The sequence below is a fragment of the Homo sapiens genome, chromosome 18 (assembly GCF_000001405.40).
Source record: "Homo sapiens chromosome 18, GRCh38.p14 Primary Assembly".
Taxonomy (NCBI): Eukaryota; Metazoa; Chordata; class Mammalia; order Primates; family Hominidae; genus Homo; species Homo sapiens.
Window position 1 is genome coordinate 5,821,461 of NC_000018.10, and position 20,124 is coordinate 5,841,584.

The 20,124-nt window shown below is 41.3% G+C and overlaps 1 long non-coding RNA gene and 1 other non-coding gene across 11 annotated transcripts in view; both read left to right on the plus strand.

Moving 5' to 3' along the window:
• The window catches only part of MIR3976HG (MIR3976 host gene), a 165,609-nt gene that overhangs the window by 72,662 nt on the left and 72,823 nt on the right, over positions 1-20,124 (plus strand). The window lies entirely within an intron of this gene.
• MIR3976 (microRNA 3976) lies at positions 19,235-19,373 on the plus strand. The gene has a single exon (NR_039772.1). It is a non-coding gene; the product is annotated as a microRNA 3976 (primary transcript).

A 20,124-nucleotide genomic window follows, 5' to 3' on the forward strand; every position in this document is an offset into this window, starting at 1 on the left:
CCTACTTTTGGGTGTTTTTCCAAAAGAATTGAAATCAGATCTTGAAAAGTTATTAGTACTTTTGTGTTCATTGCAGCATGATTCACAATAGCAAGATGTGGAAGCAACCTAAATCTCTATCAACAGATGAATATATAAACAAAATGTGGTACACACATGCAATAAATTGTTATTCAGCCTGAAAAAAGAAGGAAATTCTGCAAAATGCAACAACATACATGAAACTTGAGGAAATCATGCTAAGCGAAATAAGCCAGTCATAGAAAGTACATGATTCCACTTATATGAGGTATCTAAAATAGTCAGGTTCATAGAATCAAATAATAGAATGATGGTTGTCAGGAGCTGGGGAGAGGGGGAAATGGGAGTTGTTAATCATATGGTGTAAAGTTTCAGTCAAGCAAGATGAACAAGCTCTGGTGATGTGCTGTACAGCATTATACCTATAGTCAACAATAATGAATTACATACTTAAAAATTTATTCAGAGGGTAAATCTCATGTTAACTGTTTTTACTGCAATATAATAAAGACCTTTAATCTTTGGCTTATTTTGACCAAACTAAAAGGCTTAGATTTACTGGATAGATACAGGTGGTCATCATGGTGTTCTTCAGATTTCAAAGAGATGGTCACCATCTGATATGGTTTTGCTGTGTCCCCACCCAAATCTCATCTTGAATTGTAGCTCCCATAATTCCCACATGCAGTGGGAAGGACTGGGTGGGAGGTAATTGAATCACGGGGGTGAGTCTTTCCCATGCTGTTCTTGTGATAGTGAATAAGTCTCACAAGATCAGATGATTTTATAAAGGGGAGTTCCCCCACACAAGCTTTCTTGCTTGATGCCATTAAGACATGAATTTGCTCTTCATTCACCTCCCATCATGATTGTGAGGCCTCCCCAGCCATGTGGAACTGTGAGTCAATTAAATCTCGTTCCGTTATAAATTACCCAGTCTCAGGTATGTCTTTATTAGCAGCATGAAAACAGACTAATACACCATCTTTTTTCATCTACTCTTAAGCCTTTGGCATCTTGGGTGGCCTACGGCAAATTTAACACATTGAGGTGTAAAGAGCTTATATTGCAGCTGGTGTGCCGTTCAGCTTCAGAGCATGTTCTGAGCTGTCTAGATAAACTCTACAGTATATCTGATCACACTGGGTTTCCACTCTTCCCACAAAATCTCACCTTTTTCAACCTATTCAAAGATAGCTTGAAACAATACTTTCACGCTGCTTTCACTTTACTCCCTCTGTGCATAGGATTTCAAAAAGCAAAATACTGTATTGATCAGGCAACTATCCTGGATTGTCTCAGAAAATACTCCATTCCCCAAAACAAGCCATCACCTTCAGTTCCTTTGAGGCTGCATCAGTGAATTATAAATTCGCTATAGCAAATTTATAATTGGAAAATGACATGAGATTAATTATGGAAATGCTTTTCCAATTTCAATAGTCAATTAATAAGCAAGTATATGAAGACCACAATAATTACATTGTTCTACAAGCATTGCACTACAAGCCTTATTTAACTATATTTAGACTTTTGAAAGAGAATCCGGTTAGCATTATTTTTTAAATGAATTTGACATTCAAGGGATGCATGAATTTACTTTGGATGTTGGATTACAAATTAATGCTTATCAAATTAACATTGATTTTCTTTGTAGTCTAGGACCATCATCACAGAGAATTTTTCTGCATGAATTCCTGCCATGGTTATCACCAGGCTCATGAGTGAGATATCGGAAGGCACACAAACTTCCACGGACCCTATTAAAAAATACTCTTTCCTGACATCTGTAGTAGCCATGTACAAGTCAAAGATCTATCTTACTCCCTTAATTGAAGAAATTGTTTTTCTCTATTGTGACCAAAGAGGGAAAGTAAGAGCCAGCATAGACCCTGGAAGTTGGTCCTAAAAGTATTTGATTTAAGTAAAACCTATGACTTATTTTCATAGTATAATTATATGCCTTCAAAGGCAGAGGTCCTACGTGTACAGTTAGATAAGTTGTAACAAATGTATAAAAAACACTGGAATCAAGATATACAATATTGTCATCACCCTACAAAGTCATGTGACATTTTACAATAGTAAAATGTAACAGGTCTATCTTTCCACACATCTTCTATAGTCTAAATTTTCTGGGAGTGTGTGGTCATCTTCACTTTACCTCCTTCCTCCTTGGTGTTTGGATGAATAGAAAAGGCAGAGGCTGCCGTCAATTCATCTACTCACTGGTAGCCCTCCAACCCCTTCAGACATTTCCTGGGACACTAGCTTTGTAGTCTAACAAACCAGGCATAACTCTTGGCTCTATATCTACTTATCAGAGTTATTTTAAATGCCTGAGCCTTGGTTTCCTTATCTATAAGGTGAAGATGCTAAATGTACCTCGTATGGTTGGTATAAAGATTAACTAAAATATGTAAAGGCCCCTGACGTTCAGAACATGCTCAGCTGATATGCCATTCACTCTCTCTAGTTAAAATCTTGGGTGCTGGGTCCTTTCTCTCCCTCTCCCTCACCCCAACCAACCATCCAAAGGGTATATTCTAGTCTTTTAGGATGCTGCATTTTAAAAAGACACTTTTTCTAATCAGAAAAACCAATCCTCACTAATGCGTTAGTAAACTTGAATAATTTCCCCTTCCAGGTAACATATTTGCATTTTAATTTAAGCCTTTGGGAAGATGTTGTTTTAGCCCAAATAAAGGACTTTGAGCTAAAAATGTCAGGAATTGGGGAATGGTGTAATATTTGGGGCCAGGCAGCAATATTTTTCTCTAGGTTCCAGATAGCTACCCTTCTGCCCATGTGCACAGTTGCCTGTGTTAAATGTAGGTGGCTTTTTTCAGGAAAAGATTATGTGTACAGGTTGCAGTCAAATTTTGGACAAGCTGCTTTAAACAAACTCATGCAGGCATTAAAGTCAGAGCCTGGAATCTAAGTGCCATGACAAGGAAGCTGCCTTCTCACGGCTGGAGTGACAGCTCACAGTTGTTTAGCAGATGACAAGTAGAGATCTGCAGATCAACACTAGCATCATGGCAGCAAGCAATGGTCTCTGCTTTTGTGCGCCTCTCAGTGAAACCCACCTGGCAGGTTCTGCTGGAAGCGCCAAGAGCATATCAGGGAAGGTAGCTGATCAGCTTCCCATTTAAAACATATTTAAATTCAGAGCCCTCAGTGAGAGGCATCAAAACAGCTAGATTAGCATTTTGGAGGGCTGCCTTTTTGTTTTCCTACCTTCCACACGCTGAACTGATAGAGCTCTGGCTATGCCTTGTTCTTCCTCTTCCTTTTTTACTGAAAGTGGTTGCTAACCATTAGAACCCGCCCAGGTATCAGTTCCTATTCAGGGCTCTGTCTTCCTGTGATGTTTCCTGAAGTCTTCTTTGCTATTGGCTAGTCCCTGATTTTGTATCATTTGCTTTTCTCAGGTAAACTGACTCCCATTCACCTTTCCTTTCACCATGCTTCTCTAGCAAACAATAAAATGTCTCTGGATCACAAAAGATACTCTGATTGAAGCAAAGTAGATCTGCTGTCTTTTCTCTCCCTGTGCAGCTTTGTAGATAGATTGTGGATAAAACTAAACGTCAGCTTCTCCAACTGCTGCAAGCACTGACCCCAAAGCAGATGACACATGTCACCCATGATCATCACTCAACTCAAGATTGATGATGAAGTGCAAAAGTGAGAACTCTTTTAGCTGTATACAAGTTTGCACTCAATATGTTTTCACAGCTTCAATTGTTTTAACAAACCATTTGAGGAAATATGTTTAGGCATAATCCTTTGCTTCCTTCTTTTTTGGCATAGCATTTAGAACTCATACTTAACAGGAATTCACATAATCGGTATAAATATAAGGGAGCCGTATATATGTAATCTTGAGCACACACAAATAAAAAGCATAAAAAAGAATAAAAAGTATAAAAAGCAAGGAAAATTAGATACTTAGTACTATTAAATCTTCAGGTCCAAATTACTTTCTTTACACCTATATATCTAGACAGCAGCAAGTTGTCAATGGGATATATGAGTGGAACCTTCAACATACAGAAAATAGTTAATTTCTTAGACCAATGAATTAGGGACCAAGGGAATGGTGTTCAGCAATACATTGTCTTCCCTTGATCATTAATCTAGTTTACAAAGAGCTGCCCAGAGCAGGTTTTTTTGTATTTTTTTTTTTACTATACCTGGCATTCGGCATCAATTTTCAATGTCAATTGGCATTGGCCAATTGGGTAACAAGATTAGGAGTGTCCAGCTACAGTAAAGAAAAATATGTCAAAGTCGATTTTTCTTTCTTAATGAGACTGAAGCCTCCATTTTGCTGGTGTCAAGAAGAGGAAGAATGGCGATCAATGAATTTGATGACTGTGAGAAATTTTAGTAATCAATGAGTAATCAATTTTGCCGTTTTTTTCTTTAATCATTCTGAGCAATTATGTGAATATAATCTTTGGTGTGTATTATTAAAATAAAAGCTTAGGGATTTTAGCAATACTTAAAGTTGTACCCCTTCCTTTTAAGACAAAATAACAAGAAAAAATAGTGGCCATTAAATTCTTGGAGCTTCTATTTGAAATAAACCATTCAATATGTCAGTGATAACCGGCTCTGCAGAACTCTTCCATTTTCAAGTTCGGCACTCTTGGCTAATTTTATTAAGCCACCTTAAGTTCTTTCAGGGGCTTTCTAAATGGACTGTAGAATAATTCTCGTTGCCCAAATAGTTAAACTATTCAGTATATGCAAGCCAAGAGGTCCTGTGTTGACTCAGTGCCAGGACTCCAAACCTCTGAAGGCCCTATTAGGAAAGATAAATGAGAAGTGTTTTCCACCTACCTGTCCTTGCTTTCCACAGAATGAACTTTAAATCAAATTTTTAGCTTTATGTCACTTGAGAGAATAGTGAGAAGGGCTTTCAGGTGGAGGAAGAGCTATGATTAAAGCTTGTGAAGGGTTGAGAACAGATACATGGTAAATGAGTGTGTGTGTGTGTGTGTGAAAAATGGTGTTGAGGATTTAGAATAGACAGCATTAACTGGTACAAAAAAAGAAGTGTGATATATTTAAGGGAAAAAAAGGGGAATATACTTTTGATAAAAACAGTTTCCCTCCGTCCATCAATGAATTTGGTGGGCAGTTCTTTGCTGGCCAGAAAAGCATCAGGGAAGAGAATATAAGTGGAACTCAATACATTTAAACAGTAATGGGTGAAATACATTATTGCATGCAAAAGAATCTAACAGAACACAAAACTAAGAGCATCCAGCTTAGGAAAGAAAATTTTGTCTCTTTATTGGGATCGGAGGCCAGCATTCCTCTTTGGGAGACAAGCAGGCCTCCATGGACACTACAGGTCAAGGTCTTGTGTTTTTGACACATTCAGTATGCAGTTGGGTTCCCAGTGACTCTTTGATAGGCTGTAAAGTCAAAGTGGCATGAGATTATTGAACTTTGGGTGCCCGACTTTTCCACACTCACAAAACCCAGAATGAAATCCCTTCTAATCACTGTTTCTCTCTTCTTTGGTAGAAGTTAAGTGGGAGAAGAATTATGCTCTGGAGTAAACGCTTCCTCATCAACCTCCTGATGTTTATACAGGAGAGTGATCTTTGCTGGGAATTATAGGGCTCATTAAAGTGTTTTCATTAAAACTTGCACAAATTAGCAATCATCATCATCTAAGACTTTGGTGTAAGTCTACTAGCTTGTATGTGGTTGTAAGGATGTGTTCTAAAACTTGGAAGGGCCATATTATACTTTTATACAGGTATTTTTCTTCCATAGATTCATATGTACAGTATCTTATTTTAGAGTCTTAAAATACATGTTTTAAACCACATCCATAAAACTCTTCAGATGTTCTTGTTATATTCAGTGTGGTCAGATACACAATCAGTGGTCGCTTCATGAACTAAGGCAACGGGCAAGCTGAGAAGCAGGCTAGCACACCACACATTGTGTGTATCTTTACAAAGTGCCTGGGGGGGAAAGTGCACGGGCTGAAACCCACCCAGCCAGCCTTGCGTGCTCTGGAGAAAGCTGTTTGCCCACCTAGAAGATGTAATTCCGTAAATGCATGGCACACGCAAGTGGATGCCTTGGTGACAAGCCCTTGTTATCAAAGAAAAAGAAAGTACCCTCATTCAACGTGAAAGGGAAGAAAAATCAAAATTATTTAGATCCTATCTGTGTGTAGGAAGTTAACTGGATAGTGATGAAATCACTCACAAAACTTTTACCTGACTCCTTTGGGTCAGGCATTGACCATTGGCCGAGGTGCTTGGGGAAGCAAGTGGTCCTTACTATTTCAGGATACAGCAGGTAGGAAGCCAGTCACATGAACAAAAAAGGTGATCGTGTATAATTAGTGTTGCAACAAAGTTTACAGAACATACAAATAAACCCCAGAGGGGTTAGAGATTGGCAGCTTAGTTAGGAGTGGGTGGAGAAAAGGTAAGTCTCTTTCAAAGCCCCATTTCTCTTGGAGTGCTCAAATCAAGAATTATCTGATTGATATGATCAGAATCCACCTGCTTCAGGTGATCCTATGCCCTTTTATAGTCCTTTATTCTTTTCTCTTTGGATGTTTCCCCCTTCTACCAGGAACCAATACCCCCAAGTAATGAACTCCTACAGCCTAATCAAGCTCCATCAAAGGTATCAATTGAGGGTTCAAATCCTTCAATGTCACTAAAGCGACATCTGAGCTGATTGGATAGTGAGTCTATCCTAATGTATTAAGGGGTGATTGTGTCTTTCCATTATGTCTCTGGGGCAACATGTATTTTAATAGGGCTCTCAAATCCTTAACCTAAGAGATTCACTAAGGTGGGGGCGGTGAGCTGGCAGGGAAGGTATTTGGGAACAATTGGTTCTCTTGGATCTTCTTTAATCATAGCACATATGCAGAGGCTTCATCAACCGAAAGAAGCTATGAAAAGTTTATCCGAAGTCAGAAAAAAAAGTTCCGATTAAATAGTCCAGAACTCATACATTCATTAGCATAGTTTTTTGATTCCTCAAAAGAATTACTGAGAAGGCCTTTGATGTATCAAATATTAAGCCTTTGATGTATCAAATGCTATATGCCTGGAGGGATTAGTTCTGATTAGAAAATTCTAGTCTCTGGTCTATCTCACAGCATTTAACGACTTGTGCATCCTTTATTAATAGGCAAATGGCAGCTGGCATTCTTTTGCCAGTGTTTGCAGGAGCCTGTGTTTGCAGCAGCACACTATGTGTCTAGCCTTGGAAGATATTGTAGTTTGGACTTGGGGGTAGCAGTCAGAAGAACTTACTGATCTTGGGGGCATTGTTCACAATATTACCACTAAGTATTTTCATGTATTCCCTGAGGATAAGTATTCCTTTCTGAGTCCCTGGAACCTCTGTGAGCTATTGTTTCACTTTGTCTCGCAGGAAGAAAGGACAATCTGGCAGTCTTCATATGCCTAATGGTTCTATTTTGTACATATCTTTCACCAGGGGTCCCTGGCACTGGAACAGAGATAAACTGAAGTAGAAGGACTTTTGCAAAGTAAACTTCTTAATAGAATATTTCATGGGATGGGCCGCTTTTGCAACCCAGTGATATTCATGAAGGTGTCTGAAGAACAGCAGACACTGGGCAGGGCCCTGACACTGCTTTGTCATTTGTATAAAATCAGTCTTGGTTCATCTATCATCTTAAACAGTTCTGTGTAAAACAGTTTTTGGTGGTCATACTTTTATGTAATATTCACTCTGGAGGGAAAAGAAGGTAGGTTTATAGGGAAAAGAAGGAAACTGTAAACTTCCACAGTGCTCTAGGGAAACATTTTTTGAGGTGCTGCTGACTGTGGATCTCTGGACTCTCCTCTAGTGGGAATTATTCCCGGTGGTGTCCCTCAGGAGCCTCCCATCCATGGAGAAAGCACAAGTCAGGAAATTCAGCTGTTGGCCTCTTCCTGTGAACATTCTACCCAGGGGCCTCTCAACAGCTTAAAGTAGAAATAGAAGGCCTTTTGCTAGTTGGGTGCAATGACTCAAATTGTGCTCTCCCAAGGCTGCATACTATTTTGAGAGCAAGCAATTAAGTAATGCTCAGGTTTATGGCTCAGCAGATGAACCTGGAATGGTTCATTTGTTCTCCTAAATAACCGCTGGCTCTGTGTGTGTGTGTGTGTGTGTGTGTGTGTGTGTGTGTGTGTTTCCCTAAAGGTGAACTTCAGGATAGGTTTGCACTATGTATGCCCCAGGAAGCAACTTTATTGGATTGCATTAAAATACCCTTCAAACGTGAGTTAGAGCTCTCCTTGGTGCTGTGGACTCCTCATCTATGCAATGGAAAATACAACCCAACTCTCCTATAGAGGCTCCAATCAATGACTCCCAGGAAGTGGTGGGCATGTGTCACCTATCCTCAGCTGTCCGTTTACCTGTTATGTTTCCAGAAGGCTGTTATTCCCAGGAGAGGCTGTGGCTCCAACGTGAATCAGCAGTGAGCGTTTGCTTTTGCTAGTCCTCAGTTTACACTGAGCACTTTCCCAAACTGGGCTCTGGGTTTTGAGATGGGCACTTACAGAGCTGAAGGGAACAAGAAGGTGATATGATATCCTCACAGTATTCTTTAGGTCATTTCTTTTTCTTTTTTCCTTTTTAAGAGATGAGGTCTCGCTATGTATTTCCATGCATTCCCTCCCAGGCTACAGTGCAGTGGCATGATCACAGCTCACTGCAGCCTCAAACTCCCAAGCTCAAGTGAACCTCTTGCCTCAGCTTCAAGTAGCTGACATTACAGGCATGTGCCACTGTGCTGGGCTGAGGTCATTTCTTCTTGCCCCTAAAGCATCAAAGACAAACCTTCCTTGGTTAAGCAGCAGGGGTAGCCAAGTTGACACAAGAAAAAAAGGAGAGAGGTGATTATTGCTCAAGTGCAGTGTCTGCCCACTTCTCCCTCCCCCTCCTGGAACTCTGGACTGAGCTCAAGTCCTGCCTTGACTTCCAGGGGGGCCTCCCTGCCTTCACCTCTTCGGTGCAGAATGAGATGCTCCTGAGGGCCAGAGATGCCACCAGGAGATTTTACGTTCATGTTTTGTATTCAAATTAAAGGTAACTTCAGCAACCTTCCTCATCAGTTAGTCCTCACATATCCTCTTGTATTAAATGTATATTAGATTTCTTCTTAAAAGAAAATGTGACCTCACACCTGCAGTCCCAGAACTTTGGGAGGCCAAGGCAGGCGGATCACAAGGTCAGGAGTTTGAGACCAGCCTGACCAACATGGTGAAATACTGTCTCTACTAAAAATACAAAAATTAGCCGGGCATTGTGGTGTGCGCCTATAATCTCAGCTACTCTGGAGGCTGAGGCAGGAGAATTGCTTGAACCTGGGAAGCGGAGGTTGCAGTGAGCTGAGATTGTGCCACTGCACTCCCGCCTGGGCAACAGAGCAAGACTCCAAAGAAAATAAAAGAAAGAAGGAAAGAAAAGAAAGAAAAAGAAAGAAGGAAAGAAAGGAAGGAAGGAAGGAAGGAAGGAAGGAAGGAAGGAAGGAAGGAAGGAAAGAAAAGAGAAAAGAAAAGAAGGAAAGAAAAGAAAGAAAAAGAAAGAAGGAAAGAAAGAAAGAAAGGAAGGAAAGAAGGAAGGAAGGAAGGAAGGAAGGAAGGAAGGAAGGAAGGAAAAGAAAAGAGAAAAGAAAAGAAAGGAAAAGAAAAGAAAGGGTGGGTTATTCCCCTAATTTTCAGCTTCCCAACTCATAAGATTACAGCAGCAGAGTAAGCAGAGTAGAACTACTTTGAAAGGAAGTCATACTCTTCCCCCACTTCCACTCTGGGCCTCAGAGGGCCATTCTAGGGGGCGGCTGTGCAGAGCCCCAGGAGGTCTGTGAGGTGACCTTTCTTGTGATGGTACAGGATTCCTCAGTGGGAGTGGGGAGTGGTGCAAGTTGAGAATTTGGTTCTCGGTTGACCGCAGAGGGGCCAGCTCCTCCCCAGGGCCCCGCAGCCCCACAGTTTCAAGGCCTATCCCAGATGCTGCAGGTGGGTCTGTTAAATTCAGTTCCTAATGTCTCTGCCCCAAATATCAATTTTTCATTTTGAGTTTTCTTTTTAAAACGTTTACACATCCATATTTCCAAAGTCTTATCATGTATAAGAAACACCACAATGTGCTGGGTGTGGTGGCTCATGCCTATAATCCCAGAACTTTATAAGGCAGAGGCAGGAGGATCACTTGCGCCCAAGAGGTGGAGACCAGTCTGGGAAACATAATGAGACCTTGTCTTTACAAAAAATTAAAAAAAAAATTGTCCGATCGTGGTGGAACATGCTTGTATTCCCAGCTACCAGGGAGATTGACATGGGAGAAGGGAGGATCACTTGAGCCTGGGAGGTCAAGGCTGCAGTGAGCCATGATGGGTTCTTGCTCTCAAAATTGTATAGTGCCACTGCACTCCAGCCTAGGCAACAGAGTGAGACCTTGTCTCAGAAAAAAAAAAAAAAAATCACACTTTTTTGTGAAAATTCTCAACTTGCATCTCTCCCCACCCCCACTGAGGAAGCCTGCACCAACACAAATGGAGATAAGTGATCTTGTGAACTGCCCTCAAGTCAGAAGCAACTGGAAGAGTCAACCCATGAGTCCTTTGGTCCCCAGTGCCTGAATGCTGCCCTTCCCACCAGGAGTGGAATGTGTAACAATCCCATGGACTGTGGCACTGTATCTACATTACATATGTCACTGTTGTTATGAAGAGTGCAAAGGCTAGGACCTGAATTAGGCTAGGACCCCTGTATTAGTTCATTCTCATGCTGCTAATAAATACATACCTAAAACTGGGTAATTTATAAAGGAAAAAGGATTCACTGACTCACAGTTCAGCATGGCTGGGGAGGCCTCAGGAAACTTACAGTCATGGTGGAGGGGGAAGCAAAAACGTCCTTCACATGGTAGCAGCAAGGAGAAGTGCTGAGCAAAAAGGGGGAAAACCTCGTTATAAAACCATCAAATCTCATGAGAACTCACTCACTAACATGGGAACAGCAGCATGGGTGTAACTGCCCTCATGATTCAATTACCTCCCACCAGGTCCCTCCCATGACACATGGGGATTATGGGAACTACAGTTCAAGATGAAATTTGGGTGGGGACAGCCAAACCATATCAACCCCCCAGGTTCCATGGATGTGGGTCTGTAGGATATAAGTGTGGATTCCTCTCCACTGCTTCCTAGCATCCTTTCGAAAAACACGTAAATGCTCTGAGTTTCACTTTCTTCCTCTGCTATAGAATATCCCACGAGTTATTGTGGAGATTAAATTTCAATATTTTTAAAGGGTTCAACAGGTCTCTCATCTATGGCAAATAGCCAATGCATGTGCTTGATGATATTAACCCAAAGGTATTCATGCTTTTCAACTGCAAGAAGAGAGGCACATTCCAGACACCCTGGGAAAGCACTGGGTGGCATGAATATGCCCAGGCTGCATGGGAGGTGGCCAGTGTTTGGTGACTGGTTCCAGACCTTAGGCAGTATTATGGACACTCAGACCCTCAGTGAGATGGCGGGGCCTTAAGGGAGTGATTAGGTCATGAGAGTGGAGCCCTCATGATGGGATTAGTTCCTGTAAAAGAGGAGACATGAGACAACTTACTTTCTCTCTCTGTTCTTGGCCATGTGAGGACACAATGAGAAGACAGCCATCTGCAAACCAGGAAGAGGGCCTTCACCAGATGCTGGATCTGTCAGCACTTTGATCTTGGACTTCTCAGCCTCTAGAACTTGAGAAATAAACGTTTGTTGTTTAAACCTATGGTAATTTGTTTCAGCAGCAGAAACTAAGACAGGAAGGTGGCTCTGTTCTTTCCCCCAGGCTCCAGGATGTACACATAATTAAGAGGCTAAGATGCAAACCCCAATATCAAAGGGGTTTCCTCAAAGCAATGAAATAATGTGGAAAGCCTTTTTGAAATTGGTAGGAAGTAAAAGAAAGGCTCCTTTTTAAAAAACAAATTCTTACACAACCAAATGATGAACTGTCAGTCTCACAAACTCCCCAGGACTTTACTGAAGACTGTAAGATGACAGCCACAGGAACTGGCCTGTACCAAAGGATCCTGATGCATTCCTCAGGCTCTCAGGAGGACTCAGCCTCCTGGAACCTGAGCTCCAGGCCTCCAGGTAAGCAGTTGCCATGTTGAGGGCACAGAGGTGCTTCTATGCTCAGTGCTGCAGTGGCCTCTGCATCAGCCTCTCCCCTGGGGCTCAAAACATAAACTGCTCCTAAAGGTTCCTCCATTAAAAACAGAACTGAGCTCCAGTGCTGATAGCCTTGGGCTTGTTTATAGCCTTGGGCTTGTTTATAGCCTACCAATGGTAACTTAGAGCACAGAAATGGGAAAAAAGTTATTCTAATTTACCTCAGAGCAAAGCCCTGGTGCTCAATCCAGGAACACTATAAGAAATACAGAGGCCAGGCCCCACCATGGCCTATTCAGTCAAGCTGTCAGGTTGGTCCTTAGGTGATTTACATGAGCATCCCAGGCTGGGACCCATGGGAATCCACCCCAAGATTAGTAGTGGCAGCTCTCATTTTCAGCAGCACAATGAGCCACTTCTATACAAAGCAGGTGGAGGGTGGATCAGCTGCTTTGCACAACTGTCTTCTAAAGAACAAGACAAGGACCATTGCTCAGAACCTGGACGTCATCTCCATGGGCATTGCTCTCTCAAGAGCAGGGTCAACAGAGAGCAAGTTCCTGGATCTTCTCCTTGGTGAAATTCTGCAGAGAGTGCATCTCTAGTGATGGATGGATACAGTGCATCTCTAGTGATGGAGGACCTAAGCTGCAATTGTTAAACCTACCCCTTATATAAAAACCATGAAATATCCAGATGTATTAGACCATCTTCGCACTGCCATAAAGAACCTCCCTGAGACTGGGTAATTTATAAAGAGGTTCAATTGACTTACAGTTATGCATGGCTGGGGAGGCCTCAAAAAACTTACAATCATGGTGGAAGGGGAAGCAGGCACCTTCTTCACAGGTCAGCAGGAGAGAGAAAAAGAGTGCATGAAGGGGAAAGAGCCCTACACTTATCAAACAACCAGATCTTGTGAGAATTCACTCACTATCATGAGAACAGCATGGGGGGAACCAGTCACCTCCCACTAGGTCCCTCCCTTGACACATGGTAATTACAATTTGAGATGAGATTTGGATGGGGATACAGAGCCAAACCATATAATCAGAGAACAATGTGGCAGAGCCCAGTTGCACTTAATGGGCCTTAACATCAACCATGAACTCACCAATCTGTCTGCATTACTTCAAAGCCACCTGCCTGACAGACAGACAGCCAGATTGGACCTGCCCATTTAGTTAAACCTACAGTCTCATTCTTCCAAAGAGCTGACATTTCCCTTGGGATGGTTTGCACTACGCAGGCTAAGCTTAGGACCTCCTATTTCTATAATGCCAATTTGCCTAGAAGGTTGAGTGTGGCCGACAAAAATCTGTCTTGAATCACCAGATGATTTAGATAGCCAGATGATAGGCTGTATAATTGTATAGAAACCATTTTCTTTTGGAAGCAGGTGATAGAGGGAAGTATTCTTGCTAAGGAACTATAAATGAGATTCTACCCTGGATTTGTAGTGACCAGTGACCTTTTTTGACTTATAGCTCATGATCAATGATGTCTTAAATTTGAGCATTTAACCTTGAAATTAATTTCTTCAAATTCGTGGGATTACAGTATATGGGACTTAGAATCATTCCAGTTCAGCCCCCTAGTTTTAACCCCAAGGAAGTAAAAATGCCAGGACTTTGTCGGTGACTAAAATACAAGTGCATGTGCATGCTTGCACATATTTTATTTTCTGACTCCTGATAGGGTGTTTTCCCGTGATGCTAAGATGCTTCCAGTCTGATGTCTGAATCTAAAAAAGTCAAAATCTTTGTCATCCATTGTGTATTAGTCAGGATAGGATAGGATAGGATATGCTGTGGTAACAAAGCCCCTCGAATCTCAGTGGCTAAACCATAAAGGTTTACCTTTCTAATCACCTCCAAAGTGAGCAGCAAGGAGCTCTGCTCCTGGGTTACTCTGGAACCTGGGCTACTGGAAGCACTGCCACCTCTATATGTCACTTCAGTGTTTGCCACAGCTTTGGGATCTCACACTCTCTAGGTGTCAACCTAAAGTGACGCTCATCACTTCTGCTCTCATCCCAGTGGAAAGAACTGCACATGGGCCTTGGTTGCAAGTGATCTAGGAATCATGGTCCTCTGTGTACAATGGAGGAGAGATGAACCTGATGATGGTTAGCACCACCATATATAATAAACATCTTGGGGGCACCCATTCTGTGCTATATACTGTACTGGTGGCTGAGACTACCCACAGAAGTCCCTACACTGGAGCATGCATAGGCTGTGGGGGAGACAGGGAGTAGAAGAAGAGGGAAGGGGTTAGACTTTGTGATGTGAGAGACTATATCAACTAAGACCCTATGGTTAAGGAAACAGTTACCTATTGGTCAAGGGTTCAGGGCCTGGATGCCATGGCATGGCAAATTTCTAAATTCCTGTGACTGTAAGAAAAACCCCACTCTTATTTAACCCCCTACCAAAAGGAATTATCAGGCTGATTTACAACCCAGACCACTGCAACTCTGATTGGACAGGGGACTGGTCTTACAAACAGTCTTTTCTGATAAGCTATTACAGACTTCAAGTTTCAGCCAGTGGATAGAGACTGCACACAAGCTGTCGTTGTGGCCTATAGTTCACCTTTTGACATGAGCCAAATTCTACCTCATTTTAATGCTAAAACCCCACCCCAAATTGAACATGGCAGAGTAGGTTACATATACGTTTACCCGTTGTGCATGCATTTACTCCTCTCATAAACATGTATTATTTTCCCACCAAGCCTGCTGAGTATGTATGATACTGGCCCTGTGAGACTTAAAACCTGTCCTTTCCCTCTTCAGTCCAAGGTGGAGGCTTTCTCTTCCCAGCTTGCAAACCGGTATCTCCAGCAAAGCTCTCCTTTCTACTATTCAGCTATCCTGGTGGTCTTTTGAATGACAACTTGCAGATAGATAAGCTACAATATGACAAATGCCATAATTAAAGTGTGACGAGAGTACTGCCAACTTCAAATATGGGAACAAACACAATTGGGAAAATTGAGAAAGACTAACAAAGTAGGTGATCTTTGAGCTGGGTCTTGAATACAGAATAGAATAATCTCCTTATGAACACATCATAGTCTCATTTGAAATAATTCCTTTGCTTTTGTGAATGTTCTACTGAGGTTTGTTTTAATTCTGTAAGCTTCTTGACAAAGGTCCAACATTCTCTTGAATAGCCTTGAAATAGACTTGAACTTCTAAAGAATCAAATAAGTAATACATAAGCACAGTTGTGTTATCAGTATGAGCTGGAATTGTGTGACCCAGAAAGAAACTGGCAAAAGCCCAGGAGTACAGTGGAAAGTGTACTGAGGTGGTCATATTATATTTTCAAGCTAAAATCAGAAAGCAAGAACTTAGAGGAATTTTAAGTTCCCTTTGCATGAAAAGGCCATAAGTTTGGAATATCTGAGATATTCCAGAAGTGTATAGCAATATAGAAACAGAATGTGTTAAATGTTATAAAATGATCCCAGAAAAATCTGAAATGTGTTGTCACAGAAGCAATAAATACAGCCAGTGATTTGTATAACATCCATTTACTGAACACTGTTTCCTAGTCAGGATATTGTACTAACATACAATTAAAAATCACTGCTGCATCATTTTTTCCTTCCTCCAGGAATAAGTAAAATTCCTTTCTTCTACTATCTTAGTGAAAACCTCTACCCAATTTCACAAAGGGTGATGATTTCAATAATGACAATTATAACAAATAACAAGAATTTGCTATGTGCCAATTATAATTCTAACCATGTATTTATTCACACTTCAAGCACACTATGTTGTAGGAACCTCCAGTATCTTTAACTTAATTAAATTGCAAATAGCTTTGGGTTCCACACACTAAAGTGGCAGAACTAGGATATGAACCTAGATAGTCCAACTACAGAGCCTCTATTCTTAATCATTTCACTACACCTTTTTCATAGAATGATTTATCCTCTAGAAAAGGTGAATGACAATCCGTCGTTTCTAATTAAAAAAGGAAGAAAGAAAAGGCTCGCATATTGGTTTTTAAATTACTGGGCTGCAAATATTTTCTTTCCAGGTATCCAAATCTATATTAAGACCTATCTTCATTAAAAATGACTTATAATATTTAGCTACTCTCAAACACCTCCCTTGCTTTCCAAGGGCTAGGACTAAATAGATTCAGATACATGATGCTGTGGTATTAGGATATAATCCAAAGTACGTATTTGGTCCTCATTCCCAGGTTTCTGCCCAGAGCTCCTAAAACCCTTTTAATTTCCTAAGTGATAAGAGTGATAAAGGTGAAAGGAGCATCTTTTGTTATTCATAACAATCCCCTTTCATCTACACCTGAGCTTATGTTGATGTGATAACTTTTGGAAAGCCCCTAAGGATGGGGGCTGGTTGCCAGGGGAAACAAACCACAGGATTAAAGGCTCAGAACTTGCAGCCCCACTCATCAACCTCTGGGGAGGGGAGAGGGGCTGGAGAGTGACCTAATCACCAATGGCCAATGATTTAATCAGTCATATCTATATAATAAATCATCTATTAAAAATCCCTAACGAGGAGGTTTGGAGAGCTTCTAGGTTGATGAACACGTGGAGGTGCTGGGAGGGTAACTGCACCCAGAGAGGACGTGGAAGCTTACAGCCCCATCTCCCATAGCTTGCTCTATACATTTCTTTCATCTGGCTGCTCCTAAGTTGTGTTCCTTTTTATAAAAAATCTGGAATCTAGTAAGTAAACTGTTTTCCTGAGTTCTGTGAGCCGTTACAACAAATTATCCAACCCGAGGAGGGAGTCATGGGGGCCCCCATTTATAGCTGGTCTATCAGAAGCACAGGTGACACCTGGACCTGTGACTGGTGTCTGAGTGGAGTTAGTCCTATGGGACCGATCCCTTAACCTGGGGGATCTGATACTATTTCCAGGTAGATTGTGTCAGAATTGTGTTAAATTGTAGGACACCCAGTTGGTGTCTGCCCGATAATTGAACTGAATTGTAGAAGTGTTGAAAGTGTTGTGTGAAAGTAGAAAAGGAAAAAGGTTTGTTTCTCTCTTTGATGGGGACATTTTGTTTGAAATCCCTGTGGCACCATGGCTGGTAAGGCTGTACCAGGTGTGAGTCTTTTTCACCTTTTCCCTTCATAGGAAAAGAAGGCAAAAGAGAGGAGGGGCTATTGGCCTTTGATAAGATTATCAGGTAGACTACCTGTAACCCTTATCCCCCAACTCCTAGCCGTTGGTTCCCTGGGACTGTTTTCAAACACCTATTCATAGGGACCTGGAGTCAAAATGTATCCATCTGTTCTCACTATCTCTTGAACTCTGGAATAACTACATGTAATACATTGCTAATCATTACCTTTCCAGGATAACATATTTTTGTAAGCTACTTACGGCTTTTTAAGAAGTCACCAGTGACCTACTAGTAGAAACTTGAGATTCATTCAGAGGGAGGCATTTTTCGTAAGAATAACTTTTAGTGGTCTGCTTTTGAAAAAGGCTGGCCTCTTGGAGACAACTGCCATTTTTGAACCTAGAGGCCCGTTCTGCTGCCCCCATTGCTTACATTTGCATATGCCGCAGAACTTATTTCTGGGCTCCATGAAACTGCTGCCTACACAGCCAATCTGCCACTTCTTCTGGCAGAGGCCTCTGTGCACAAGTGTGCACACCACACACATACAGGGCAGGGCTGGCCACGCTTTTCCACAAATCCAGTTTCCGAAGAAGAATAATGAGATGCTCCACGGTCCCCTCAGAAGAAGGGTTGCTAAAAAGCAACAAGACTCTAGTGAGTGAAGTCTCTGAGCTGGTGCTGATCTCGGGGAAGGCGAATGTGGATGAAAGGTGAGGGGGCTTATAAGACATGAATGGGGAAATGGAATAACTAGAGTGGAGCACAGGCAAAAGGGGGAAATCTTCTCTCTTCTTTCTCTACCTGGCCTAATGTGAGCAGACGTTATCAGAAGGGATTCTGTTAAAACAAAGTCATTTTCTGTGACATGGTTTGTACTAAATGGAACAATGCTAGTTTTGAGTTTTCAGTGTACAATTACCAAGGGGACCTTTTAATAACTTCGGCTATTCAATTGCTAGATCATATATTGCCATTCCCTAGATTGTTGCAGTAAAGGTGATGATATAACTTGCATCCCATTGCAGTACCTTTCTTCATCACTTGTTTACCAGGAGTCAGAGAGAGAGCTTTTCAAAAAATGAGCATAGACTTCCAGGCAGCAAAGCTTTCTAATCCCACCTGACGGTCCTCAAGTTATCCAGAGCAGCTTCATGGAGAAGAACAGTAATTAGGTTGATTGAATCCTTACGCCTGCATGGCTTTTCAGCTGCTCTGATGCATTCTTTTGAGTATAAATAAGTTTTCAATGAGTATTACAGAATGGGCAATACCACAGGAAAATACTGCCAGTAAGCTCTGATTTTAGATGCTGGTCCCAATGTAGCTATTTAGTTCCTTGAATTGTTAGCTCTCTAAAGCCCTGTCTCACCCTCCCTAAACCCATGAGCCTAGATGGTTGGGTGTAATGAAGAAGTCTGAGATCATAGAAAAGCTGTCTGGCTTTTCTGGAAATTAAACCCTGACCTTTGTCTCAGTAGCAGCAGGCTTTAAGTAGCACAGCCCAGTACCATGTCTTGGTTTTGGTGATTTCTTATACGACTAGGGTGTAATAAATAATTTTGAATGATGCCTTCACATTCTGAAGCCATAAGCCTGTTAAACATTAGGTCACGAACTTTTTCTGGTTTGTCTAAGACATTGTTGGCCCTAGCACTGGAAGTCCCACATCCAGGAATCCCCTCGAACTAGGGCAAACTGAAATGATTGACCCCCCCCCCCTTTCTTAAAAGGTATAATGCAGCTTTCCTAGGATTGGATCTATTTCTCTGTTTGTTTTGTCGTCTAGATTTCTTGTTATATCAGTGCCCTCCCATCAGGTATCTCCACTATATAAGCGGCACCAACCAGCACATTTAACTGAGGGAAGGGGTGGGCGTGAGGCGGGAGGATGGAATGAGGGATATAGAGAGCAGGAAGATTAATGTCATATTGGAGTTGGACTGCAGGGCTTCCTTTACACAATAAATATTGTATGAAGTGCTGATGTAACCTTTACTGCAGCATGACATGGGATTTGGCTGTTTTTATGGCTCATGATTAAAGTAAGAAACAAGTCTCTGATTAGATGATTCTTTTTCCCCCACAGACCTCTGTCCTTCATATTTCCAAGAATGCTATTTTATTTATGCAATCCATCTAACTCAGACACCAAAATATGTAGATCACAACCTAGACAACATAAAGAAGCATTCTTTTTATTCTTGGCCTCAGATTATTTATAATCTAAAATGCTAGCTTTGATGAGCATTGCAGGGAAAGAAAGAGTTGAGACTGGCAGATTTTACCTCCTTTTAAAAAGTATACTATCTGCAAGTGGTGAAACCCATTGATATTTTGTTGAGGTTGCATAAGAAAATAGATGGGTTTTTAATGATATTAGTTTGTTTTAGTTGCAGATAGCTAAATACAGTCAGCTAAAAAGCAAATTGAGCTCTAAGGAACAGAATTAAATAATTTGGTTTTCTCCTTCTGGTCTATCCTATTCAGTAATTTAATTATTTGTGAAACTTTTAAACTCAATTGACTCATTGAATTTGTTCAAGTTGGTTGGTGTATGGTGTTACACTCATTATATATTTTTTGGTCCTGGTCCAGAAATTAGCAACTCAGCTTTATTCAATCATAGAGAGCCAACTATATTTGAAATGCCTGTGCTCAGTGTTTAATGTCTTCAAGTTATATCAATTTTTAAATTCAGAACATTAATCTGCTTATTATGTGGAAGTGCAATAAAACTATCCAGTTGAAATTGAGGAGGTTTTTCTTCTTTTTGTAACCCTTTAT